At 44.7% G+C, this 24,161-nt stretch overlaps 1 protein-coding gene across 3 annotated transcripts in view, besides 2 other annotated features; it reads right to left on the reverse strand.

The window, feature by feature from the left end:
- Positions 1 to 24,161, reverse strand: part of FSTL4 (follistatin like 4) — a 645,613-nt gene that overhangs the window by 206,294 nt on the left and 415,158 nt on the right. The gene's annotated exons all lie outside the window — the stretch shown is intronic.
- Positions 20,969 to 21,018: an enhancer, noted in NCBI's record as "active region_23104". NCBI's record gives its function as "activates an Ori minimal core promoter by ATAC-STARR-seq in GM12878 lymphoblastoid cells {active_cell/tissue: GM12878}" and the evidence as "EXISTENCE:reporter gene assay evidence [ECO:0000049][PMID:35858748]".
- Positions 21,109 to 21,403: an enhancer, noted in NCBI's record as "tiled region #9043; HepG2 Activating DNase unmatched - State 4:PromP". NCBI's record gives its function as "activates a minimal TATA promoter and a strong SV40 promoter by Sharpr-MPRA in HepG2 cells {active_cell/tissue: HepG2}" and the evidence as "EXISTENCE:reporter gene assay evidence [ECO:0000049][PMID:27701403]".

Genomic DNA, 24,161 nt, shown 5'->3' on the forward strand with positions numbered 1-24,161 from the left:
TTGACTTTTTCTTGAATCATAATAAACTAGAAGGTCAAATATCTCTGAGCAGTATAAAAGTGCAGATCCTAAGGAGGCGGGAATCTCTTTTATCCACTTTGCTAATTGTTCGCATGTCACCATGAAGGCCCAGTGGCATTCAGCGGCCCCTCTGCACGCCTTCCTGTCAAGGTTGATGGTGGCGGGGAGGGAAGGAGGCGGAAGGCAGGCAGGCGCCTGGCAGGGAGGCTCTGGGCTGGAGGCCCCCCACTCACGGTGTTTATGGCCGCTTTGCCATGGAGCATATTTGATTAGCGTGATTCTCCTGGGTTGTTGGAAAATGGGTTACCCTAGAAAGTGCTGGCGCCTACTAGAAGAAACTAACAGCTCTGAAAATATCAGCCTTTGTTTCTCTCCCAAGACAGGGCCAGGACGCAGAGCATTGCCATGGGATCACTGTTTTAATAACCTTCCCATGCAGATAGGATGCAACCCACTAATTGCCCATTTTGAAGAAACAAGAGGCAAAGTCTCTGTGCCCTGGCCTCTCCGAGCCTGCTTCAGAGCGTGTGCCCTGGCCCCCATTGCTTTCTCCCTCTGGCTAAACCAGCTCCAAGTCACTGTTGTAGGCATTTTCTCTATGAAGTGCTTGCTACCAGCCCAAGTCCAAGTGTCCCTCTCTGAATCCTCCTACCCCAAAGTGCCTGCCCTGCTCTGGCCTCAGGAGGTCCCACAGGTGCTAGGCCTTGCTCCTCGTGTGGCCCCAGTATACTCAGGTTTTAAGAAATGCAGAAATTTTCAGAACTGATCTCCTGAAGGCTAATTCAGTGCAGTTAAGAAGCCAGGCTAGGGGCTCGGATGGGGAGGGTGGTGAAGCCTCACATGTGTTGACCCGGTAGGGGTACATTTTCCCTTGCCTTCTCCAAAGTGGGCAGGAAGGAAGTGGAAGGATGGAGGTATGAGGGGAAGATGGATGTCCGTGGAGGTGGGTCTTCTGGAGTAAAGAGAACTAGAATCCTGGAGAAGCAGAGTTGGAAGGGGCTTCAGAGACCACCTACTCCATCCCAGGCAGGCAAACCAAAGCCAGTTCATGGGGGGCTGGGGGGAGAAGCTACTTTCCCTGACCCCCTCCTTTGAAAGCTGTGTGTCCAGATGGTAGTGAGCACCTCTGAGGCCCAGCGTCACACAGGGCAGCAGGCACCTACGTTTGCTTAACTTGCTGGGGAGGCTCCCATGGCCTTCCCTGCAGGCTGCACTCTGAGGGGTCAGTGTTAAGGAAACACTGGTGCCAACCTGTGGCTGCTGAAGTTGTCAAGAACACTCAGGTTCTCCCTGACATGGAAATTGGCTGTCGGCAAATATTTGATTCCTGATTACTTGCAATTAAGACAAAAGTAGCATGAAGGCCCTGCATATGCCCTTCACAATGGCCCCACAGAGGGCTGAGGATACCCCGGGCGGGGTAAGGCCCAGAATCTGATCCACAGCTACACAGATGCTGACCCAGGGGTGGGCTCCTCATTAAACAAGCCCCTTGTTACCACTTCCTCCTTGTCATTAAAACAGAATGAATTCCCCACTCCTACCACAATGATGATAAAACAGTAATGGGAAAGGTAACCAAGTGAGACTACCAGCAACTGCCTATAGTATTTATGAGGACAACCACAATGCATGAAAAGTACAATGGGCTTAATTTATAGTCATCAAGAAAGCCATTTACTCAGGTTAAAAACTGATCATCTTGCCAAATAAGCTGCTTTCCAACACAAATTAAATTTACTGAACATGGTCAGAAATGGGAACAGTTACATTAACATTATGGCGGCAGGAGAAATGAGTCTATTGGTACCAGTTGGTGCTGAAGACTCCCTCTGTGATCTGAATAAGGATTTTCAATAAGAATGTCACAGACCCAGGACTGCCATGAACTGGGAGCATAGATAGGTACAGGTGGTGTAATTGAGCGGTTGTGGAAGGCAAGCCCGTCTGACCCCGGTGGAAGGCATAAAAGGAGGCTGAGTCCTGAGATGGGCCCCAGAGAGAGTGAGTCTACATCCACATGGAGCAGGAAGCCCCTCCGTTGTTCTCCCACAGCCAGCCACAACCAAGAGCACAGACAGTTGGGTAATTTTGCTTCCAAATACTGACTCAGCCTCTGTAACCGCTTCCTGGGCCCAAAGAAAACTAACGAGTGCTCCCTTCTCAGGGACAGTGCCCCAAGTGGCAGTGAGGGAAAACCCACGAGCTCTTCCACTCTTGGATGCCAGCGGCCTGCTGGCACGTTCTTCCCAACACAGCTTTTCTGTGTCTCAGACCTCATCTCCAGCTTGACTATTGATGACAGCCCTGTCTCTCCTGACCAGGCCTTGGGAGCTCCCTGCTCCCATCTCAGCCAGATGTTCTGCCTAGGCCTGCTCCTGAAGGCTGTCAGTGCCCCCAGCACACGACCTAGCACTGAATTCCACAACCTCACCCCAACTCACTATGAGGCCTCAATGAGGTGATGGCTTGGCTCTGAGGAGGCAGTCACTGGAAAGCCCAAAACTGGCTGAAAAGAGCAAGGCGTGAATGCAGAAGACCAGAGGCAGTGTGTGCAGCATCAAGAACCTCAAGAACCTCATCTGCCACCTGCCACGAACCCTGGCCCAGTACAGCAGCTGTCTCCACCTTCTGCAGACAGAGGTACTTGTCCAGCCAAGTGCCTGCCCATGGGCAGATACAGCCCTTACACATGGCCTTATATACTTTATCTTCCAGGTACTGACACACCAACACACAGGGGAGCGGCAGCCCTCGCCTGGGGTCATGGTTGGGTTTCTCAATGACCCAGAGCGAGGCTTTGCCTGCGGAAGAGCCATGTACATGTAGCCATGTGCAGATATGTGGGGTGCGCATCCAGGGATTGGACATAACGGTCCCAGTATTCTTCCCCGCTTTAAGATAACTTATACCCTCACACGTGGCAAGGTGGTCCAGGGACAGAGAGTGCCTGTCAGTGTCGACTCTCTCATTGCAGAAACCACCCAAGTGCCTGGTATGCAGCTGCAGAATTCAGGTTTGTGTGAGAACCAGGCAGAGGCCCGACGCTCCAGTCCCGTGCCATGTCTACCCTAAGATGGGGTGGGTGGTAACAACGGGGCACTTCCGCAGTTCCTGCCTGCCAGCTCCTCCCCTATCTATCCACCCAACAAATATTTACTGAGCACCTGCTATGTGCCAGTCCCGATTCCAGGTGCTGAGGATTCAGACAGAATAGGCTCCTATCCTCAGGGCACTAACATGACAGTGTAGGAAGACACACAAGAGGGTGAACTGGCAAACAAAAAAACAAGACAAGTGTAGATGGTGTTAAATGCGAGGAAGGAAATAACCAGGGTGCTGCAGCGGGCACACTTTACTCTGGTCAGGGAAGCCTCTTTGAGGAGGTGAGATTAGACCTGAGACCTGACGGTGAAGATGGCAGAGACCTGGGGGAAGGAGAGAGTGGAGCACCCTTGGGTGCCCTGGAACCTGGCATGCAGGGAGAGGAGGCCTGGTATAAGAAGAGGCCTGGCTCCTAAAGCCCTGCTCCAAGGTAAACATCACCAGGCAGACTCAGTCTGCAGGGAGCTGTGAGGCAGATGCAAAGTTTCACCCTGCCCAACTGTCCCACCTGGGAAGTGGGGTGAGGCCCTGCCATCCCACCACTCAGCCCTCCCAGCTGAAAGAGGTCTATCCTCTTAGAGGCCAGAAAACTCTCGGCACCCCTCAGGGCTGCTGGTGGGAAGAGAGCAGCCCTCTCTGAGCTCTGACTACAGGCTACCTTGGTGAGGGCCTCCACACTCCTAGATGCCCTGGATGCCGGGGCTGCGTCAGGTCCACCTCCACCCTGTAACGCCTCATTTATATTCAAGGGTTGGGATGAGAATCTGTAATTCCTCCCAAGGACATGTGTGTGTTAACACCCAGCCAGAGAAGGCCATGTGTAAAGTGACTATTATTTACTGAGGCAGGCCCACCAGGCACCATGCTAAACTCTTAGAATCTATGAGCTCATCTGATGCTCATTTAATCCTCCTTAAAGCTCTATTAAGTAGACACAGAGGCCCTACTCAGCACATATTTGTGGCATGAATATATGCCCATTTTACAGATTAGGAAACATGAGTCAAGTGACTTGCCTATGGTTAGACAGCAAGTAGGTGGTAGAGCCTAGCTTTGAATCAGTCTCACTCCAAATCCCTTGAACTTGGGATAATCTGCTCAGCTGGTGATATGGTCTCTGCTTCAAGTTCAAGGAACTCATGCCTGGAGGATCTAGATGTCCATAGTGTGAGCTTCTCCAACATCAGGATACATCCACACATCAGCAACCCTGGCCTGCAGGATGGCTGCTCCTCACCCACCTCAGGGACACATAGCTTAGAGGCCTAAGTAGCAACTTCTCTAAAGGCTGGAGGTTTGCAGGGCTGCAGAAGGAAGCCCTGCTTGGATCTGTGAACATCACAGGCCCAAACCCACTCCTTGTCATGCATGGACACCTGGCCATTAAGCCCCTTACCTCCCACTATGATGTTTCCATCTTCATCACCTCCCTGTCTCCTCTCCTGCTATTTTGCCTGAAACTGGACAGGTGACTGCTGGGCAGATGTGATGTATTCTCAGTGACCACAGGTGATTTCAAACTCAACCGGTGAGCACAGCCTGTATGCTGAGGTGCTTGTGCACTTGATGAAAGCAGTTTGACCAGTTCTGAAAGACTTGACCACATTCTCCAATCCCAAAGCTCAACAGAAACACATGGTTATCCATTGCTGGAAGGTAATGCAACCTGCCATGCATAATGTTTACAGATCCTAACCTGAGGTCTGACAAATTGACTTCAAAGTCAGAAATGCCTGGAACAAGAAGAGAGAAGGAACACCTTTCATCTGTCAGGAGGCCTGTCAATTCTGCCAAAAGAGTTTCTATGTAACCAATTTGTATGAAACCAAAGCACAAATAGGTTTCTACATATTGTCTAATGTCCCTGGGCACGGCTTTTGGAGGTGGTTATTTCTGGTCACAGCTGAAGATCAAACACCAAACACAAGTGCCAAAGCATACTTTTCAAAAACTTAAAAATGTGACTGTCACGATAATCTAAAGTGAGCATATGTTAAAGCTGTGTTTGCTTTCTTAATGAGAGAGCCCACAGTGCAGACGCTGATTCAGAGGAGGACTTGAGGAGCCACATGGGCACTGGAGAAAGAAGGTTGGGATGAGATGCCTAGGCTAGGCACACAGTAGGTGAGTGATCTGCAGGGTAAGAAAACCACAAACTTTCGGGTTCTCTTTTCCACCAAAAAGAACCATGTGCATTTTTACTGGGAACAAATGTGCAAGTTAACATGTCACTGCACAGTCTGGGCCTTTAATCAGCGGCAAATTGTGAGTTGAACAAAGACGTAACCCTCTAGCCTGGATCAGTAAGTAATCCTTGGGCAGATCTAGTAAACAAGGTCCCAGAGGGAGGACTTGCCACCCTCTTTTTCCCTTATTCCCAAGTTTTGGATAATTTTCTCAATACCACCCAAATCCCTGCAGTAACCAACGTCACCTGAGGGAGCTGCCAAGGTCTCTCATCTCTTTCTTCTGCCTGGGGCATCTTCCTTCAGAGCCCCCAGCCTCACAAAAAGACCCCAGAAAGGCAGGAACGTGAGGCTCCAAGCCACTTAACTGAGACTTACTGAGACAGAGAGAACTTTCTCCTGGGAAAGTCCCCTGGTGGAGCAGAGGGAGAAGGGGCTGGAGCCAGAGGCCACGCTGCTGTGGGGGAGCTGACCGAGCTGAGGATGCAGCTCCTCTTCACTGAGGCGGGGGTGGAGCGGGGGCGGGGTGGGGTAGGGGGAGTGCTGCAACAGAACTTCCTACGGTACTTGTGTTGATCCCGCTGGGTCTCAAGTAACACAGTAACACAGTAAAACCTTGGCCTCCACCCAGTCCTGTGCTCCTTCACAGCTGATAGTTGTGTGAGCCCAGGCAAGGTTCCACCTTCTTTTCCCTATTTAAAAGTGACGATAACAATGGTCCTTACGGGATTGCCCCTTACAGGATTGCTTTGAGGATTACATGAGATAATTCATGTAGAGAGCTAGGCACTTAGTAAGTGCTCAATTCGGACACTGAATTGGTGAAAGGTTGAATAAATAGGACTGGAAAAGTAGTAGCCATTTGGTTTTACTGATTCAAGTGCATGAACATGTGGGGTAGTTGCTGTCTTCGGGAGGCCAGCCTTAATGGAAAGGTGAACATATTTATACTGAAAGTATTGAATGGTTTTTAAAAAGGCAGATGCAAAATAGCATGCTTCAAAATACCCAAAGGAAATGCTTCCCTTGCAATTTCCCTTGCGCCAGGGCTTCACTGGACCCTTATAAACTCCGCCTGGCTTCCAAGGTAGGGGAGTCTGAAATTATACATTCTTAGGGCAAAGTGACTGGAACTAACTCACAGCACAAACTGCAGGCTCTACTCAACACCTAAGGGCAGTGTCAGGTAGTCACCAGGGCCGCTGGCCTGCCAGAGGAACCCTGGTGACAGTTTCAAAGGCATCCCCTGACCTGGGCCCAATGCCAGCGTATCTTGCAAACCTCTCAGGCTCACCTGCTACAGACAGGTCCTATGGTTTCTCCTCCTTCTGGGAGCCCTTTGCACTGTGTGTCATCTCCCCATCTGCTGTCTGTGACAATAGTGAAGCTACCTGACTCACCATTTCCAGAGCTTTCCCCCCAGCCCTCCCAGATCTCCTCCACCTAAAGGAGGCTGCCAACCTGCTGGCCTGAGGACCCCCGCTCCTGTGGTTCCTTAGACGGAACAGCAGGCCCCGAGGCAGGGCCCCAGCAGCGCCTTCACAGCTGCTCAGAACTCCAGGCTGGGCATCAGGCAGTGTCTGTGGTTTCAGGGTTGGGACCAGGCTCCACTTCATTCAGAGCTCAGCACCAGGCCTGGCACAGATTGGGCTGGGTGGAGGACTGAATCTGATGAAGATGCTGCAGAGACCCAAGACTGGCTGGATAGAGAGCTGAGTAATCCATCAATGGTTTTACAGAAACAGACATGGTCACAGATTGAGTGGAAAGAGTGGAGACTGTAGAAAGCCCTCGGTGGGAGAATAGCGACCTGGGATCTACAAGGTGTGTCTCTTTCACATGCAACCCTCAGTTTCCTCGTGGGTACGTGAGAGGGCTGTATAGAGATCCCTGAGATGGAAAAAATTATCCCACATCTGTGAATTGAGGATGTACATCAGAGCCTGTGTTTTAACTTGGATGTCTTTTGGCTACAATAAAACTGCACAAACCTTTTTCTTTTCCCTCTATTTGTCCTATCAAGTTATCTCAACCGGCTTTTGAAGGGTTATTTTGGAGACCTTCTTGGGAAGAAAAGCTGCATAAAAATGTCAAGTACAATACGATTTCTGCCCTTGGGAGAGTTTCTTTTACAAAACGGCTTTGTTTTAGACACTTCCTCCAAATATATTCCTACCCCCGAGTTCCTTTTCTTTGCCTAAAGCCTCTTCAGCTCGCATCTGTCTTATTCCCTGTCACCGGCCCTCATTTTTCCTTCAGGTACTTAGCTCCTTTGTCACTTTCCCCAGCTCCTCTGGGCTCCCTCCGTCTTGGAGCCAAGGGGACCAGATGTTGCTGCTCTCCACGGTCTGCACCGTCTCGCTGATGCGCCACTACGTGGGTTCCTTCCTGCTTTTCCACCAACTAATGATTCAAGGCCGTGACACCCCAGGCTGCCTCCAATTATTTCAAGAATCACTGTGGAGTTACTCTGTGAGCCGCCGTGATGCTCCTTGTCACTTTATCCTTGGAGACTTGCCAGCACAGATGGGGAGCTAAATTCTTCCAGGGCCCTTTACCTGCCATACAAGGGCCGCCCCGGTCCGCACCTTGCCTTGGTTGGATCACTTGTCATAGATGTGTCTCACAATAACAACATGCTTTTCTCCTTCATTCTACTTTTAAAGAAAAAAATGGCTCAGTTAAAATATCTAATATTAGCACAGAAAACTACCATTTTCTAATCAGGAGCATTTCAATTTCTCCTCTCAAGGATCTGCCCTTGTCTCTCAACGGGATTATCAGCCATAAAAACATGCACTGGATAATATCAAGACAAAGCTTAGTAACAATATCGGACAATCTGATTTCATCTATTCTCAACTTCAATCCCCTGGCTCAACCGAGCCAAGCAGTGGCTGAGGCCTCTGACAGGTGGGCCTGAGGGTTCTGGGAAGCTGGCTTTCCTGAATGCATGGGTGGGCTGGTCTGCTCTACCCCTGAGTACAGAAGAGCATGTGGAGACCAGGGGTCTCCACTGGGGCCTGACAACCTGTCTACTTCTATGAGAAGCTCACAGGGTCAGCAATTGCCCTATCAGGTACTCTCTGTGAGACCACCACTGCCTTAAGGTACTTCAGTGTTGCCTTCAAACAGGCTATGGAAAAGAACCATATACACTGGGAGCTCCAGCCTCTGAAAAAATGACTAGAATTACAGCTACTGCAGAGGAGGAGTGACACCTTAAATAGTGACAACAAAATACCAAAATGCCACGAGAATCAAGCACAGCACAAAGAAGGCTTTTGGGGGAACTATGATTTTTGAGCCAACAAGAAAATCAGGAGAATTTCAGGAAAGAATTTAAGGAGATAATGGTCACTATTGAGATGTCAAGTCTTCCAAGGTTAAGAATATCAGGGCAATTTAAGGAGACAATGGTCACTATTAAGACTCCAGTCTTCCAAGGTCAAGAAGAAGACATATCTCAAAACCTAGAGTGAAAATAGAAATAAAGAAAGTCTTAAAATACAGTAATAATTCCATTTAAAACTCTAAGGACAAAGAAATAGAAGAAAACTCCTTAAATAGCCAATCACTAACTGTTTCCAATTAAAATCAGGAGCCAGACAGGGATATTTGTTATCATCATTCTTATTCATAAAGGAAGTATAATAAGACAAGACAATGAAATAATCATTAACATTTGGAAAAGAAAGACAGCTAACAACGATCTCTTTTTGATGATTATGTATCTGTATACTTAGAAATCCAAGAGACTCCAGTGAAAAAATATTAAAATTATAAGAGAATTATGAAACTAGTTGGACAGATGATAAATATGCCAAAATTAATCATTCCTCTCAACAGTAGCAATAAATAATTAGAGGTGAAAAACGGAAAAACCACCTACTCATAATCATGGTAAAAACCATAAAATATTAGTAAACAAATTTGACAAGAAAGCCATAGGACCTATATAAAAAATGGCTGTAAAACCCTATTGAAGGTCATAAAATAAGATTGGAACATTGCTTATTCGTGGGTAGGAAGACATTCTCATAAATACACAAATTTAATGCAATCATTTTAGACTTAGATGAAATGATCTTAAAAAGTTCATTTGAAGTAATAAGTGCCCCCAGATAACCAAGGAAAATAAGAGAAAGAATACTGTAGGGGGATGTGCCTTCCCAGATACTAGAACATTCAACCCAGAAAGCTGCTGTGATAAAATCAATATGAGATCAACCTAGGAAAAGGCAAATCAGTGACTGCAGATTTGGCAATAAAATAGAAAACAGGATCCAGAAATAAATGCCAATGTATATGAAAATTAGATGTATAATAAGAGTTACCACTCCAATGGGAAAATGATAGCTCTCTGATAGATGATGCTGGGGCAACCTGCTATCCACCTAGAATGAAACAACATTGGAAACCTATTTCACACCACACAAAAAATCAAATTTGAATAACTATAAATGTTTAAATTATTTCTATTAAATAATGAGTAGACAGAAAAGAACACTTATCCACTCTATGGATGGCTTAAGCATTATCGTACAACAAACGGATGAATCCATTCATTTAAAGAAAAAGAACGGTGTCTTTCATTTTGAATTTTCCCATGTGTCCCTCTCCAGTTCTATTCCCTCATTGCCACACAGAGACCGTCATTAGCCTGAATTTTGTGTTTATCATTCTTTTGGTTTATCTCACCTTTGTATTTCTATGCAGTATGTTGTTTTCCATGTTTTTGAACTTTATATAAATGAATCACACTCTATGTACTCATCAGAGACTTTCTTCTTTTGCTCTCCCACGATATTTAGTTACACCCATGTCTGCATATAGTGGTGATTCATTCATTGTCCTTATAGTACCCCCACATAAACATGTTATTTATTTAGTTTATATTAGATTGTTTATTTGCCTTTTTCTGTGGTCCTCTTTCTCTCTTTTGGTTCCTTATTTTGAATCAAATACTTCACCCTGATTTTCTTCTTCTGCTCATATAAAAATTAAATATCTCTTTTATTCTTCTACTGTTTATCTCAAATTTTAAAATGTATAATTAAGCCAAAGTCTATAATCAACACTTTAACCCTCCCCATGAAGAACCTTAGAACACCTTAGAACCTTTCCTGACGTAACTATATGACAATACTGTATATTGTGAGTCTGTCTTTATTCCTCATAATTCCTTCTTATACCTCAAATTCTCTTTATGTTTGTCTAAAATGTCTATTTTATCCTAATTTTAAAGAGTTTTTTATGCTGTGTAATTACTCTTATGTTCGTGTATTTTTTTTCTTTCAACTTGATAAACCTTTTGTTCCCCTGCCCTCTGGCTTTGTTGAGATGTTACCTGATAGCCTTTTCATTCCCTTATAGGTAATCCATTTTTGATGTCTGGATAATTTTAACATCTTCTCTGGTTTTCTGCAATTTCTCTGTGATGCAAACACACATATTTCTTTGCATTTATTCTGCTTATAATTCATCAGGTTTCCTGAAAGTGAGGATTTCTATCTTTCATCAGTTCTTGAACATCCTTACCTATCTTCCATTAAATGGTATCTCTATTCCATTATTTTTCTCCCTCTTTTCCAGGTATTCTAATTAGAAATATGCTACAAATTTTCATTCTATTTAAGTATCTCTTATCTCTTTCGCATTTCCCATCTTTGGTTTTTCTATGTTGCATTCTGTATAATTTTTCAAATCCGTCTTCCAGCTCTTAAATTAACTCTTCAGCTATTTCTAACCTACTGTTACACTCTTCCACTGAGTTTTGAATTTTGAATTTTCAGAAGTTCTTTTTAGCCATTCATAAAGATGATTGGCCATTTGTATAATCTCTTGATTTTCAATCATATTTTTAATTTTTAAAAAATATTAAATATACATATTTTATATTCGGTATCATTTTGTTATTCACAGATTTTGTTGGTTCTTACATGGCATTCTCCTTTTGGTGTTTTGATTTCTTTTTAAAAGAGCTCACATTTTCTGGAATATAATCTGTGAAAATTTTTTGAGATATAGTTTGGATATAGGCTCTTCTTGATTGTGCCGGGCACCCAAGGACTCCACCATTCTGGGTTAAACTAAATTTTATGTTTGAGATTTTTCAGGTTACTCAGGTAGTTTGCATATGAGCTACAATTCCTTCTGGCGATCAGTCTATGGTTATACATTTTCAAGGAAATTTCTCTCTGTCTACTCAGTGCCAAGATTTGAGGCAGGAACATTTTCTTGCCAGTCCTTGGGACTGGGTGGATTTCTTTCTTTCTTGTTCACCCTTACACTGCAGATATAGCACTTGAGGGGCCCAGGTGTATATATATAGGGGACTGGGAGTGGGAACCTTCCACATATGCCTACCTCGGAAGGACCCTGGGATTTGTCCTTGGTATCCTGAGCCACGGAGGGTATGTAAACCAAAACCAACGTTCACCTAGTTTGGCAAAAGCCCTCAAGGTAAAGTCAGTCTCACAGCTATCTTACCTCTCTGGATTCCTGATTTCACTTGTATTTTTAGCCTCTAGGTAGTCCTTATTTTCTTACCAAGCACATCAGTGTTTAAAAGGATTTTAAAAAATATTTATCTGCTATGTTGCCAGAGGCAAAAGTCAGATTATGACTTTTAAAAACAGAATCCAACAATTAAAGAAACACTTCGAGGTAAATACCGGGGTATTATTTTCAACACGGCACCATTTAGCCCTTTGGAGAAGAGACAAGAACAATTCCTATTGCAGAAGAACCCTAGGAGCCTGGGTTATTGCCAGACAGCCTATTTTCATTTTCCTGAGCCCACCTGCATGTTAAAAGCAAGTTTAAACTCTCCTGCCACCAGGAATTTAAACAATAAAGAGAAGCCTATTAATGGGATACAATGGAGGAAAAAAATGGACACATTTGTTACCAATAACCTATGCACCTCTCTTCCACCTCCAAACCCAACTTAGAAGCCCTTAGCATCAGTACTTTCTTTCTTCGATATGTAGATGTGGCTGGCTACAAATACAAGGTCAGTGACTAGTTCCTTTTGAGCCACTTCTGATAGAAGAAATCAAAAGACTGAGTTGAGTTTGAAGTATCTTCTGAGCAGGCAATGCCTTGCTTTAGGCAGGCCCACCACAGTGTGGGTCTCGACCTATAATGTCATCTGATCTCTCATCTATGTTGGTCAGGACAAGCCTGTTTGACTGTCCGGCTCTCCTGAGATGGTAGCATCCGAAAGTGAAGGCTTTACCCTCCACTGTCGTTGATGTATTTCCACCTAAAGCTTGGACAAAAGTCATTCTAAGTACTGGCTCAGTCTTACTTATGGTGGCAAAATTAGACAATCTTAAAAATCAAAATATTCTTCTGAGCAGGTCACATTAACCAAAACTAAATTATTTTTGATTCTTGTTAATATACTTAGATTTCAACTCTAAACACATAAGAATGACTTTCACCTTTTTTTAATTCCAAGGAGAGGAGATTCTAACTATGTTTTATCTTCAAAAAGTCATAGTAAAGAGGAGGTGGCAGAGCATGGTGGTGGCCAAGTGGGGGTCAAAGCCACCACGAGGAAAGGGACATCACAAGTGGGAGGGTGGCTTTGTCGGTCTCCGGTAGCAGCTGAGGCAGGTGGTGGCAAGGTGGGATTAGGTGCAGGAAGGTGGCTGAGTGGTGCGGCAGCGTGGCAGGGGCAGGAGGTTATCTTATATGCAGGAGAATCTAACAGTATATAAATATATTGAGGACAGTGGGAACTAGGTTTTTCATGGAAGAAGAGAATTACAAATATGAAAAGAGGGAACACTAGAATGAACTCTGTGGTTGGACTGGCATTGGAGGTATTGAAGTGAACTCACAGTTTATAGCTCAAGATACATGTGTATGTGTCTATGTATACATAGGTCCTTACCCCGCTTTCAGAGAGAATCTGCAAGCAGCAAAACCCCAATAGCAAGGAGCACGTTTAACGCTCACATCTTTGCTTCTCAAAATAGCTCACCACTAAGAAGAACCAAGGCTCTTTGAAAAAATGGTTTGTTCCAGGGAAGGGGCAGGGAAAAAATAAGAATAGCCTAGAACATCTTGTACCAGAAAGTAAGGAATCACTTAAAGAATCATGAGATGCATCAAAAAGGACATAAAAGGCAGTCTGAAGAAGCTCCTACTGGCCAAGTCTGGGACATTTTAAGCATGAAAATCGTAAGGTCGTAATGGGTAATAGCTTTCTGTTAATTTGGTGGAACTGATTTTTAAAAAGTGAACAAATAAATGGGGACAAGAGAAACTCTTCTTTACAGTAAATTTTAACTTGTAAATATAGAAGAAATGATGGAACTGAACATTTTCATTTGGCAATCACAGTACTAGTTAATTCTGATTACAGAATTGAGACATGTTAATATTAGCGGGTGAAAGAGAAACAACAGGATATTTACATAGTCTCAAAGTATCTCATCCGAAAACATTTATTACTTTTATAGACTTTATTAATTTTAAAGAAAAACAGGACAAGTTTATAGTGGAGAAAGCTGGCAGATATCATTTTACTCAAGTGATCAAAATTAACATTACCAGTGGTGTCACCAGTTGACATAAATTCCTACTTGATGGGATGTGGGGAGAAGAGCTCGGCATAATTTCAGTAATATTCTTGCCAAAAGTTCATGAAGAAACATCAGACAAACTCTAATAGAAATAAGTGGCCTGTAATTTTAAAAACTGCTAAGGACATAAAGATCAAGGAATGACTCAAGCACTGTTCTGAATTGAAGTAGGCTGAGGACAGATGACAGCTAAGTGCAATGAGTGCTCTGGTTTGAATCTTCTTTCTATCGAGGACATATTAAGACAGCTGGCAACATTTGAATGAGGTCTTTGGGTAAAGGATGTGGGGAAGTTCTGTGTACTGTACTTGCAGTTTTCCAATAATATTGAACATACTTGAAAAAATAGGGCATCCAAAATTGCGTACACAGAATTCTACTTCTAACTAGGATACAGAAGTTTGAAAAAGATTGTTGTTCTCATAACAAAAAATGCCAAATAAACTAAAATTCATATCTTTTTAAAAGCCATGGGGCAGTAATGAAGGAATATATGTCTAAGTCAATCATATTCCAGAGAAGAACAAGCCTTTAGTAGAACTGATATATACAACATCTGAAATAAAGGATTAATGGGCTTCGATAAGATTAAGAGCTGACTGGACATAGCAGAAAAAGGGATCAATGAATTCAAAGACAGGTCAATAATAAAAAAGGCCTGTACTGAAGCACAGAGAGAAAAAAGAATGAAAAAAAAAATTAAACAGATCATTAGAGAACTGTGGGACAATAAGAATAGGACCAACATACATGTAATTGGAATTTCAGAAGGAGAGGAGATAATGAATAGGGCAGAAGGAATATTTGAAAATATATTGGCTAAAAATTTACAAAACTGAAGAAAGACAACTCAATATCTGAAGCAAGGAATCCTCAAGCAAAATAAATACAAAGGAAACCACAAAGGCAAATTATTATCTAACAACTGAAAACCAAAGATAATGAGAAAACATAAGAAGCAGCCAGAGGAAGAAAAGACACATTATTTTCAGGGGAACAATAAGAATGAGGTTTCAGCTGGGTGTGGTGGCTCACACCTGTAATCCCAGCACTTTGGGAGGCTGAGGCAGGTGGATCACTTGAGGTCAGGAGTTTGAGACCAGCTGGGCCAACAAGGTGAAACCCCCATCTCTATTAAAAATACAAAAATTAGCCAGGCGTGGTGGTGCACAACTGTAATCCCAGCTACTAGGGTGGCTGAGGCAGAAGAATCTCTTGAACCCGGGAGGCGGAGGTTGCAGTGAGCTGAGATTGCGCCACTGCACTCCAGCCTGGGTGACAGAGTAAGACTCCATCTTAAAAAAAAAAAAAAAAAAAAAAAAAAAAAAGAGGTTTCACTTATGATCAGAAACAACAGGAATCAGTAGACAGTGAACTAACTTTCCACCTCAAGAATAAAGAAAAAGGAAAGAGTGTACCAAAAGGAAGCACAAACAACAAAAGTAAGGAAAAGACATCACTAAACTAGAAAACGAGTAATAGAGAAAAATCAGCAAAGCTAAAATGTGGTTCTTTAAAAAAATTATGAATGTATAAATTCTTAGCAAGTCTGATCAAGAAGAAAAAAGATGGATATTATAAATTACCGATATCAGGAGTGAAAGAAAGAGTATTTCTATAGCTATTACAGACATCAGAAATTATTAGGTGATATTAGAAATTTTACACCAATAATTTGACAAATTAGATAAAATGAAAAATTCTGTAAAAAGCATAATTCAAGAAACAGGTCAATATGCTCACGGATTAGAAGTCTCAATATATCTAAGATGTGGATTCTTCCTAAATTTACCTACAGATTTGACACAATTTCATTCATAATACCACCAGACTTCTTGAAAAAAATCGACAAGCTATTCTAAAAATTATATGGAAATGGTTATAGAAATAAGGAAATAAACTTTATATAGAATATGCAAAACAATCTTGAAAAAGAACAAGCTTGGAGAACAAATGCTACCTTAACTCATGAATTACTATACAGCTACAAAAAATAAGACCATGTGGTACTTGAATAAGGAGAGTGACTGAGAGGATGGAAATAGCATTATACTATACAGTCATTTGACTTTTAAGGACACACCTTCATTGAAGTATAATTGACAATTAACTACACCTATATACAGCATACAATTTGAAAGGTTTCGACATATATGTACACCCATGAAACCATATCACAACCAAGACAACAAACACATCACCCAAGATTCCTCATGCCGCTTTGTAACCCTCCCTTTGCCCCTCCCTGTCCCTCCAACCCAAGTCTGATCTGGCTTTTGTCATCAGACATTAGTTTGGATTTCCTATAATTTTATATAAATGGGATCACGTAGTAGATGCTCTTGTTTTGTGTGGCTTGTTTTACTCAGCATAATTATTTTGAGATTCGTTCATGTTATAGAATACATCGATAGGTTTTAGCTTCATTAAAGTTTGCCATGTGTCAATAGTTCATTCCTTTTTTTATTTTTTATTTTTATTTTTTGAGATGGAGTCTCACTCTGTTACCAGGCTGGAGTGCAGTGGCATAATCTTGGCTCACTGCAACCTCCCAGTTTAAGTGATTCTCCTGCCTCAGCCTCCCGAGTAGCTGGCACTACAGGCACGTGCCACCATGCCCAGCTAATTTTTGTATTTTTAGTAGAGACAGGGTTTCACCACATTGGCCAGGATGGTCTCAATATCTTGACCTCATGATCTGCCTGCCTTGGCCTCCCAAAATGCTGGGACTACAGGCGTGAGCCACCACACCCAGCCAGTTCATTCCTTTTTATTGCTGAGTAGCATTCTACTATATGGATATACCACAGTTTGTCTATTCATTCAACTGTTAATGGACATTTGGGTTGATTCTAATATTTTACAATTTCGAATAAGGCTGCTATGAACATCTATGTACAAGTATTTTTATGGATATATGCTTTAATTTCTTTTGGGTAAGTAGGTAAGAGTAGAATGGCTGGATCATAAGGTAAAAGTAAAAGGTTTACTTTTTAAAGAAACTGTCAAACCATCTTCCAAAGTGGTTGTACCATTTTACATTCCCGTCAGCAGATTATGAATGTTCTGGTTCTCCCAGATCCTTGCCAACACTGGCTATGGTCAGTCTGCTAACTTTCAACCTGTTTAAATTTAGTGGCATATTACTAAATGCGTAGTGGTATATCACTGTGATTTCAATCTGTATTTCCTAATGACTGATGATCTTGAACATCTTTTTATGTGCTTATTTGCCACTCATAGGTATATATCCAAGAGAAATGAAAGACTATGCTCACAAAAGGACACATACAAAAATATTTATGGAAGTTTTATTCATAGTAGTTCCCAAATGGAAACGAACCTAATGTACATTAACAGGAATCACAAAACAAACTGTGATATAGTCATACAATAAAATACTACTTAGCAATAACAGGAACGAGCAATGGATTTTCCCAGCTACATGGATAAAACTCAGTGTTATATTGAGTTTGAGTCAAAGAAGCCACAAAGTTTCCTTACTGTATGGTTCCACTTACATAAAATTCAAAAATAGCTAAAACTAATCTACGATGCTAGAAATCAGAACAGTGCTTGCCTCTGTGAATGGGAGGGTTGACTAGAAAGATCATTTTCTAGGTTGATAGCAATGTTTTATATCTTGATTGAGTGATGGTATATACATGTGCTGAATATCATTGACAAAAATCTATGCATTTAATTGTATGTAAATTATACCTCAATTTTAAAATAATTCATATTCAGGTTTTACTTTTTGTTCAAACCACACTTGTGATTAAATAATCTCAAGTGGAAATTTAAGAAATCTTTTATTCCTCCCAAATCTTAACAAGCAATCCAGGGCTTCACACCTGTGCAGGCTGGCTGGCAGGGGCTCTGACCCACTCTAGGCTCTGAAGATGAAGGGGGCTCTCAGGCAGGGACTACTGTGCAAATTCCCTGACCTCAAATGATGGTGCCACCATAGCAGCAGGAGCAAGAGGACAACAGGGACCTGGTGTGGTCTGGAGCTGCTCAAACTGCAGAGATGCTTCTAACACAGGAGAGGGTCACACACCCATGCTGGTGGGCCCTCTGTTCATGGCTGCAGCCAGGGCTGGCCCACGGGTGCATGGCTGTAGAGTAATACAGGGTCCCACACTCAGAAGGGCCTTGAGCTTGGGGCTTACTGCTGGGGTTCTTGTCTTGAAATGCTTGCTGATCCTCTTTGAATTTGTGTTCTATACGAGAAGGGTGACGGGACAGTGGAGAATGTGCCAGGGCTTGCAGCCTCGGCTCATGTGTGGCCCTGACTCTCACCTCCTCCTCAGCATCCCAGGATGGCTCTCTGCTGCCTGCTTCTCACCCCTATCCCCTGGGTGGTCTCCCCCACTCACCCCTGCTGCTGCCTTCAACCTTGAACAGTGACCTGGTCACATTGAGGGAGGGAGCATTCTGCCATTGCCCTCCACCCCTGGCAGGGGCCTGGGTGTGGGTATGGGTGAGGCAATGGTTGGGCCCACACCACCAGGCATCTCAGGGCGGGGCAAGGGTATGGCTGTCACTGCCCAGGCTGATAGCACCATGGTGCATACAGTGGGCCTCTTGCTCACCTTCAAGTCAGGTTTTGAACACATCCTGGTACAGGGGTTGCAAGCTGTTGGATGTTGTCTGTCTGTAGAGGGTTGGGCAGTGGGCCCAAAGGAAACCCCTAGCTGAGGCTCTACATTTGCCTTCTGCAGTGGGTCCTACAAATTATGTGGCCAGTTCTGGCTACAGCCACTGTCGGGGGACTCCCCTGCCTGCTGTCTGTATACTTTCCCTTGCATGATCCCAGGCCCGACAGCTGAGCATATGGGATAAGAGTTTCCCCATTCGCTGAGCTCTTCGCTTGCCCTTGTGGTGTGCATTCCACGGGGTGGCCATTGCCCTAACGGTGGGTAACACTAGCAAGCTGGTCCAGGAGGGGGAGCCATTTCCAACGCCTTATGTGCTGTCTTCAGAAATGATCTCTAAGTGCTGCTCTCAGGAGGATAACAAGTGAGCCCATCCCGCCACCTTGAATGACAGCCCATAGGACACAAAGATTGGCAGCAAGCTGCTTTGGGTGGGCATCATGCTCACTCATTCATTCATTCATTCATTCAGATACCTATTGAGTGTGTGCCAGGCCATATTCTAAGTGCTAGAGATATAGCAGTGAACAAAACATACAAAAATCCCTGCCTTTATGGAGCTTATATTTGAGTGGAGGAGACAGGCGGGAAGTGATAAGTACCATGAAGAAAAAGAAAACTAAAAAAGGAGATGAGGAGTGAAGGGACAAGGGATATTTAGATAAGGTGGTCAGGGAGGGCTTCTTGGAGGAGGCAGCCTTTCAGCATGGAGTGAGGGAACAAGCTGAAGAGGATCAGAGTCCAGACCGAGTGCCAAGTCCCTCGGGTGGGAGTGAATTTGATGTTTTCAAGGAAGAGCAAGAAGGATGATTGGGATGAAGGAGAGAAGAAGGACGTGGGCAAAGATGGGGTTAGAGGCGAGTTGGGGACAGAGCAGCAGGGCTGGGTGGGGAGCTCTGGCTGTGTCCTAAGTGTAGTAACAAGCCACTGGTGGATTTTAAGCAGGAGAGTGGTACGATATGATCTATGTTCTTTCAAATGCATGCTGGCTGCTGGGTGGAGGATTGACAGAAATGTGGCAAAAGGAGAAGCAGGGAGGCAGCCTAGGTCTGAGCAAGAGAGCCGGGCCTGGACTGGGGGGCACTGAGGAAGAGCGGAGGGCTTGGTGAGACAGTGGAGGGTAGTGTGAGTGAAGGAGGCGGGGTAAGAAGGACTGTGTAGGTTTGCAGCTGAACAATGAGGAGGATGCTGTTTACCGTTTACTAAAAGGGGGAAAACGTGTCAAGACCAGGTTTGGAAGGAAAAAAAAAAATCAAAGAATTTGTTCTAACTACTTTAAGAATGGGATGGCTATTACGTGTCTAAGTGGGGAAAATCAAGGAGGGAGGTGTCCCTGGAGATGTAGAAATGGAAGATTTTAAAGTCATGGGACTAGAAGACATCACCTAGGGAATGAGAGTAAATAGAAAACAGTGTCATCCTACACAAATTACTCTTAGACAATTATCGAGCATGGTAATTTGTGAAATTTAACAATTCTATCTCTACATTAGGAAAGGTGTGTTTGACTTGAAAATATGTGTTTAATTGGGTCATTCAGACCACTTCAAAACTCTTGCCACGTTTATTTCATTTTTCCTTTATGGCTGCAAGTTGTAATGTCTTAGAAACAACACCCAAGCCCCTCTGGGCTGAAGTGATTGTTCTGATGAATGAGGCTTTCTGTCTTCTGAGAGAATGAGGCTAAATGAACAAGAAACAGGTCAGTGCTGTGCAGGCTCTGAACGGCCGAGCTCTAGTTTTGAAGTTTCATTTGTACAGTTGCTGCCTGGGGGAAATGGAAAGAAAAAGAAAAGATCCCCTGGTATTTCTGTCACAACAGGTTGGAGCTGGCCCGCTGGCTTTGTTCTTGGACTGCACGAATGAATGGGCGGCTTGTTTCCTGGCCCCTTTTGACTGCTCTGCACTGCTCACCTGGATGAGGCGCAGTCCTGAACTGGGGTCTTGGGACATTTCCAGCATTCGTTGACATCAGCAGAAACTTCAGTCCTAAATGCATCCAGGCGGTACCTCGTGCTGTCCTGTCTGCCAGCTAGGAGCTGGAGAAGGCCCATCCTCCCTCTGCCTTGCTCTCTTGGGTCCTTCCTGCCCTCCTTCCAAGAGCCTTTCACAGCACTCTCTGTGGAAGAGGCCCTCAGCCTCCCTCCTGGAACCTCAGCGGGCAGGGCTGCCCAATTCTGCTGCTATGTGAGGAGTTAGCCCCTGCTACAGGAGCGACAGAGTGCATGGGGTGACAGTAGTAAAGGCACAAAGGTGGCTGTGGTCATCGAGGGGTGGTGGGGATGATGGCGGTGAGGCGGTGGTGATGGCTAACGGTGGTGGAGGCAATGGTAGTGGTGACGGCAGGGATGGTGGTGGTTGATGGCAGTAAGGATGGCGATCGGGGTGGTGACGATAGACGTAGTTAGAAACAGCTCATTTTCTTCCCCTCTGAGAATGAGTACAGACAAATGACTCATGACTGAGGCCACGGGACTGCTCTCTGCACAGAGCAGGAAGAAGACATACATAACTGAGTATAACTTTGTCACAACGGAGTACTCGGTGGTGCACAAGACTGGGTGTGCACGTGCCAGGACAAGTCCCTCGGTGCACACAGCGCACGTGAGCTGGAGCCCAGCATGGAGCTGAGGAACAGCGCTGGGGTCCCGGCGGTTCACCAGCTTACCACCAGGTGTCGCTGTGTGCACGAGGGCAAAGGGCACCCGCAGACCAGCAGGGCCGAGCCGGGCTCTGCAGAATCGGACTGGGCTCCCTGTGGGGAGACCACATTCTGTCTGACGCCAGCAGAAGAAGTGCCTGTCCCCAAGATTTCAGGGGACACCTCAGACCCGAGTCATGCAGCAGCTCCGAGGCAGGTGGTGCCCCTGAACTTTCTAGCCGTTCAAAGTCAGTGCACATCCAAGCGTTTGCTGAGTGATTCTGCTGCGCGGGTAACCACCCAGACCCGTGAACAGTGCAGGAGGCCAGTTCGGAAGTTATCATGAGATGATCACCCAGTGTGATGGAAGCATCTCCTGGGACCGGCTGACAATTTGGGAAGTTTACAGAGCACTTGAGAGAGACACAACCCGAGGGGACTGTTTTGGAGATGGGAGATAAAAGGAGATGATATTTGTATTCAATACCTTAGAGACAGGAAATGACATGTTTTGTGAGCTTTGCATTTCCGAGCAGTCTCTCAGATGATGGTCTTTAGAATGTCCAGGGGCACCTGGGTTCTCTACGACTTCCCTGGTTGTGCTGTCCCACGGCGTCTCCAGGTTGGTGACACTCAAGCACTACAGGAATACGTGATGGTGTCCTCTGAGAGGCACTATGGCACATCTCAGGCCAAGGGAAGGCTGGTCTGGACAGGGAAGCTGGCAGTGACCATGTGGTCACTAGGCAGCATTCCCATAGCTGGGCTCACTTCTAAATACCACGTAAAGGAGAGAGTACTGGCTTTGGAGTCTAACGATCTTGAGATCTTGAGTCTAATTCTCCCATCTGGAAAATGGGAGAATAAGCCTTTCCCTGAAGCCCATAGAGAGAAGCACATGCCATAGTGAAATGTAAGGCACTTAGCATGGTTCCTGGTGCACAGTGGGTGCAGAAAATGCTAGGCCTTTCCTCCCTTCCCATCAAATAGATAACCTAATCAAAAGAAAATCTGTAAAAACAAAACAAAAGATATAGCAACATTTCTTATGCGCATCAGACTGGGTCTAACTATTAGACTGTGGATTAATCTATTTCAAGTGAGTATTGATAGAAAAGATCTACGGGCTCACATGTATTGCACATTTATTATGTTCCAGACACCATAAGGACTTGATGTAGATTTTGTTACAGATTTTTGACAACACTTTATTATAAAGTTTTTAGTTTGTAAATCTTTTTAACATTAAGATTTCTTCAAAGTGACCTAAAAAAAAAGGTACCTTAGCTAAGTCCGAGGTTTGTCTTAAGAGCTGCTCTCAAGCTGTTTGAATGGCCTGTCCCAGCCTGGTCTTGTCTCCCAGCAGGAGACCCAGAGCAAGTCAGCTAGAGGCTGGCAGAGATAATGCCATCCCCAGGTGGCAAAGCTGTTAACCGCGCATCGCCAAACCCTCCAGGCCTGAGGTTTAACAATGCCCCACAGCAGGAGTTGTGCTGAGATATTAAGAAAGAGACAAAAGGGAAAGCTATGTCGAATGTGAGTTCAAATTGTTCAGCAGAAAACCTGGAAAAGTAATTAGCAGACTCTTGTGAGGAAAGAATTAATGCCCAACTGACCTCCCAAGACTCTGTAATATCTGAATTTCCACTGTTGGATATTCATTTCTTTGAATAGCCCTTCTGGGTTCCTCTCTGAAACTCTACATTTGAACTTTAAAGTTAAAGCATTAATTAATTAATTCACTCATTGAATAATTCTGTGTTCCTACTGTGGGTGAGATGCTAGGTCCTGGGACACAGCAGAGAATAAGGGAGATATGGATCCTGCCCTCAAAGCTTATGATCCAGTTTCTGGCTGTCAAGTGTAGCCGTGTGGTTTGTCCACTGCACGATAAGCCAAGTGGCGGAAGAAATCCAGAAGCTGGCTGGGTCCAAAGGGAGAACAGGGACATAGGATAAAGAGCCTGCATTTGAAGTTAGGGTGAGGAGAAGGGAAGCAGGAATGACGTGGGGGGCTCTAGTCTTCCTGTCTAAGTGCTGGGGACCCCCCCTGAGCAAGACCCTTCTCTCTTGGCCTTGGTCTTCTCTTCTTCCACATATGGGGAGCTGGAAGTGGACCAGTCTTGACTTCCTCTGTAGCTTTCACCTTCCTCATTGCCCCAACATCCCTGAGAGTGTGCCTTTGATCTCAAAAGAAGTCATCTTTCCCAGTTAGGAATTTTTAAAGCACAGAGTGTGCTAGCAGAAGACAGAGTGTTGTCCTTCAAGCCTGACCAAAGGAAAGTCTTTGCCATGAAGGGAGGACACAGGGAGCAAAGGATAGCCGGGAGTCTGGGGAGGTGAGAGGGGGAGACCTGCCTCCGTGGCTCTCCTGGGCTGTGCTGACCCGCAGGACCAGTGGCTTGGGTCTCCTGCATAATGAGCCCATGTCACTTCATGGGGGTTCTGGGCAGATGAATAGCGCTGCCCTGCCCCCTCCGCACTCCCTAATTGGAGAATGTCATGAAGTTGGTCTCCAGACAGAGATCATTAGGAAGAGACTAACAATTCTGATCCCTCATAACGGAGCTCTCATGGCCAATTAGCAGCAGAGGAAACTGAACTGTACCGTGGGTTGGGGAATGATCAATGCCGGCATTGTGCATTCTGGCAGGGTGGATCACTGGGTGGCTGGGGAGTGGAGGCAAAAGTAGTAGAAGCGGTGGCAATGGGGGCTATGGAGGAGCAATCTCTGGCTGGAGGCACAAGCCTCAGTCCTGTTATTTCCCAGGGAGACAGTCAGCCAGTTCTGCTTTAATAATGCACTGATAGAAGCTCCAGTTCCCTTCTTTAGTTTAGCAAACACCACTGCTACTGCAATCCAGAACCCAAACCAGGCTAAAATGTTTCCTTTTTCCGAAAGTCAGCACAAGTTCTGGGAGGAGTAAGCTGAGATTTCAGGTTCTAAAACA

Source organism: Homo sapiens, chromosome 5 (genome assembly GCF_000001405.40).
Source record: "Homo sapiens chromosome 5, GRCh38.p14 Primary Assembly".
Taxonomy (NCBI): Eukaryota; Metazoa; Chordata; class Mammalia; order Primates; family Hominidae; genus Homo; species Homo sapiens.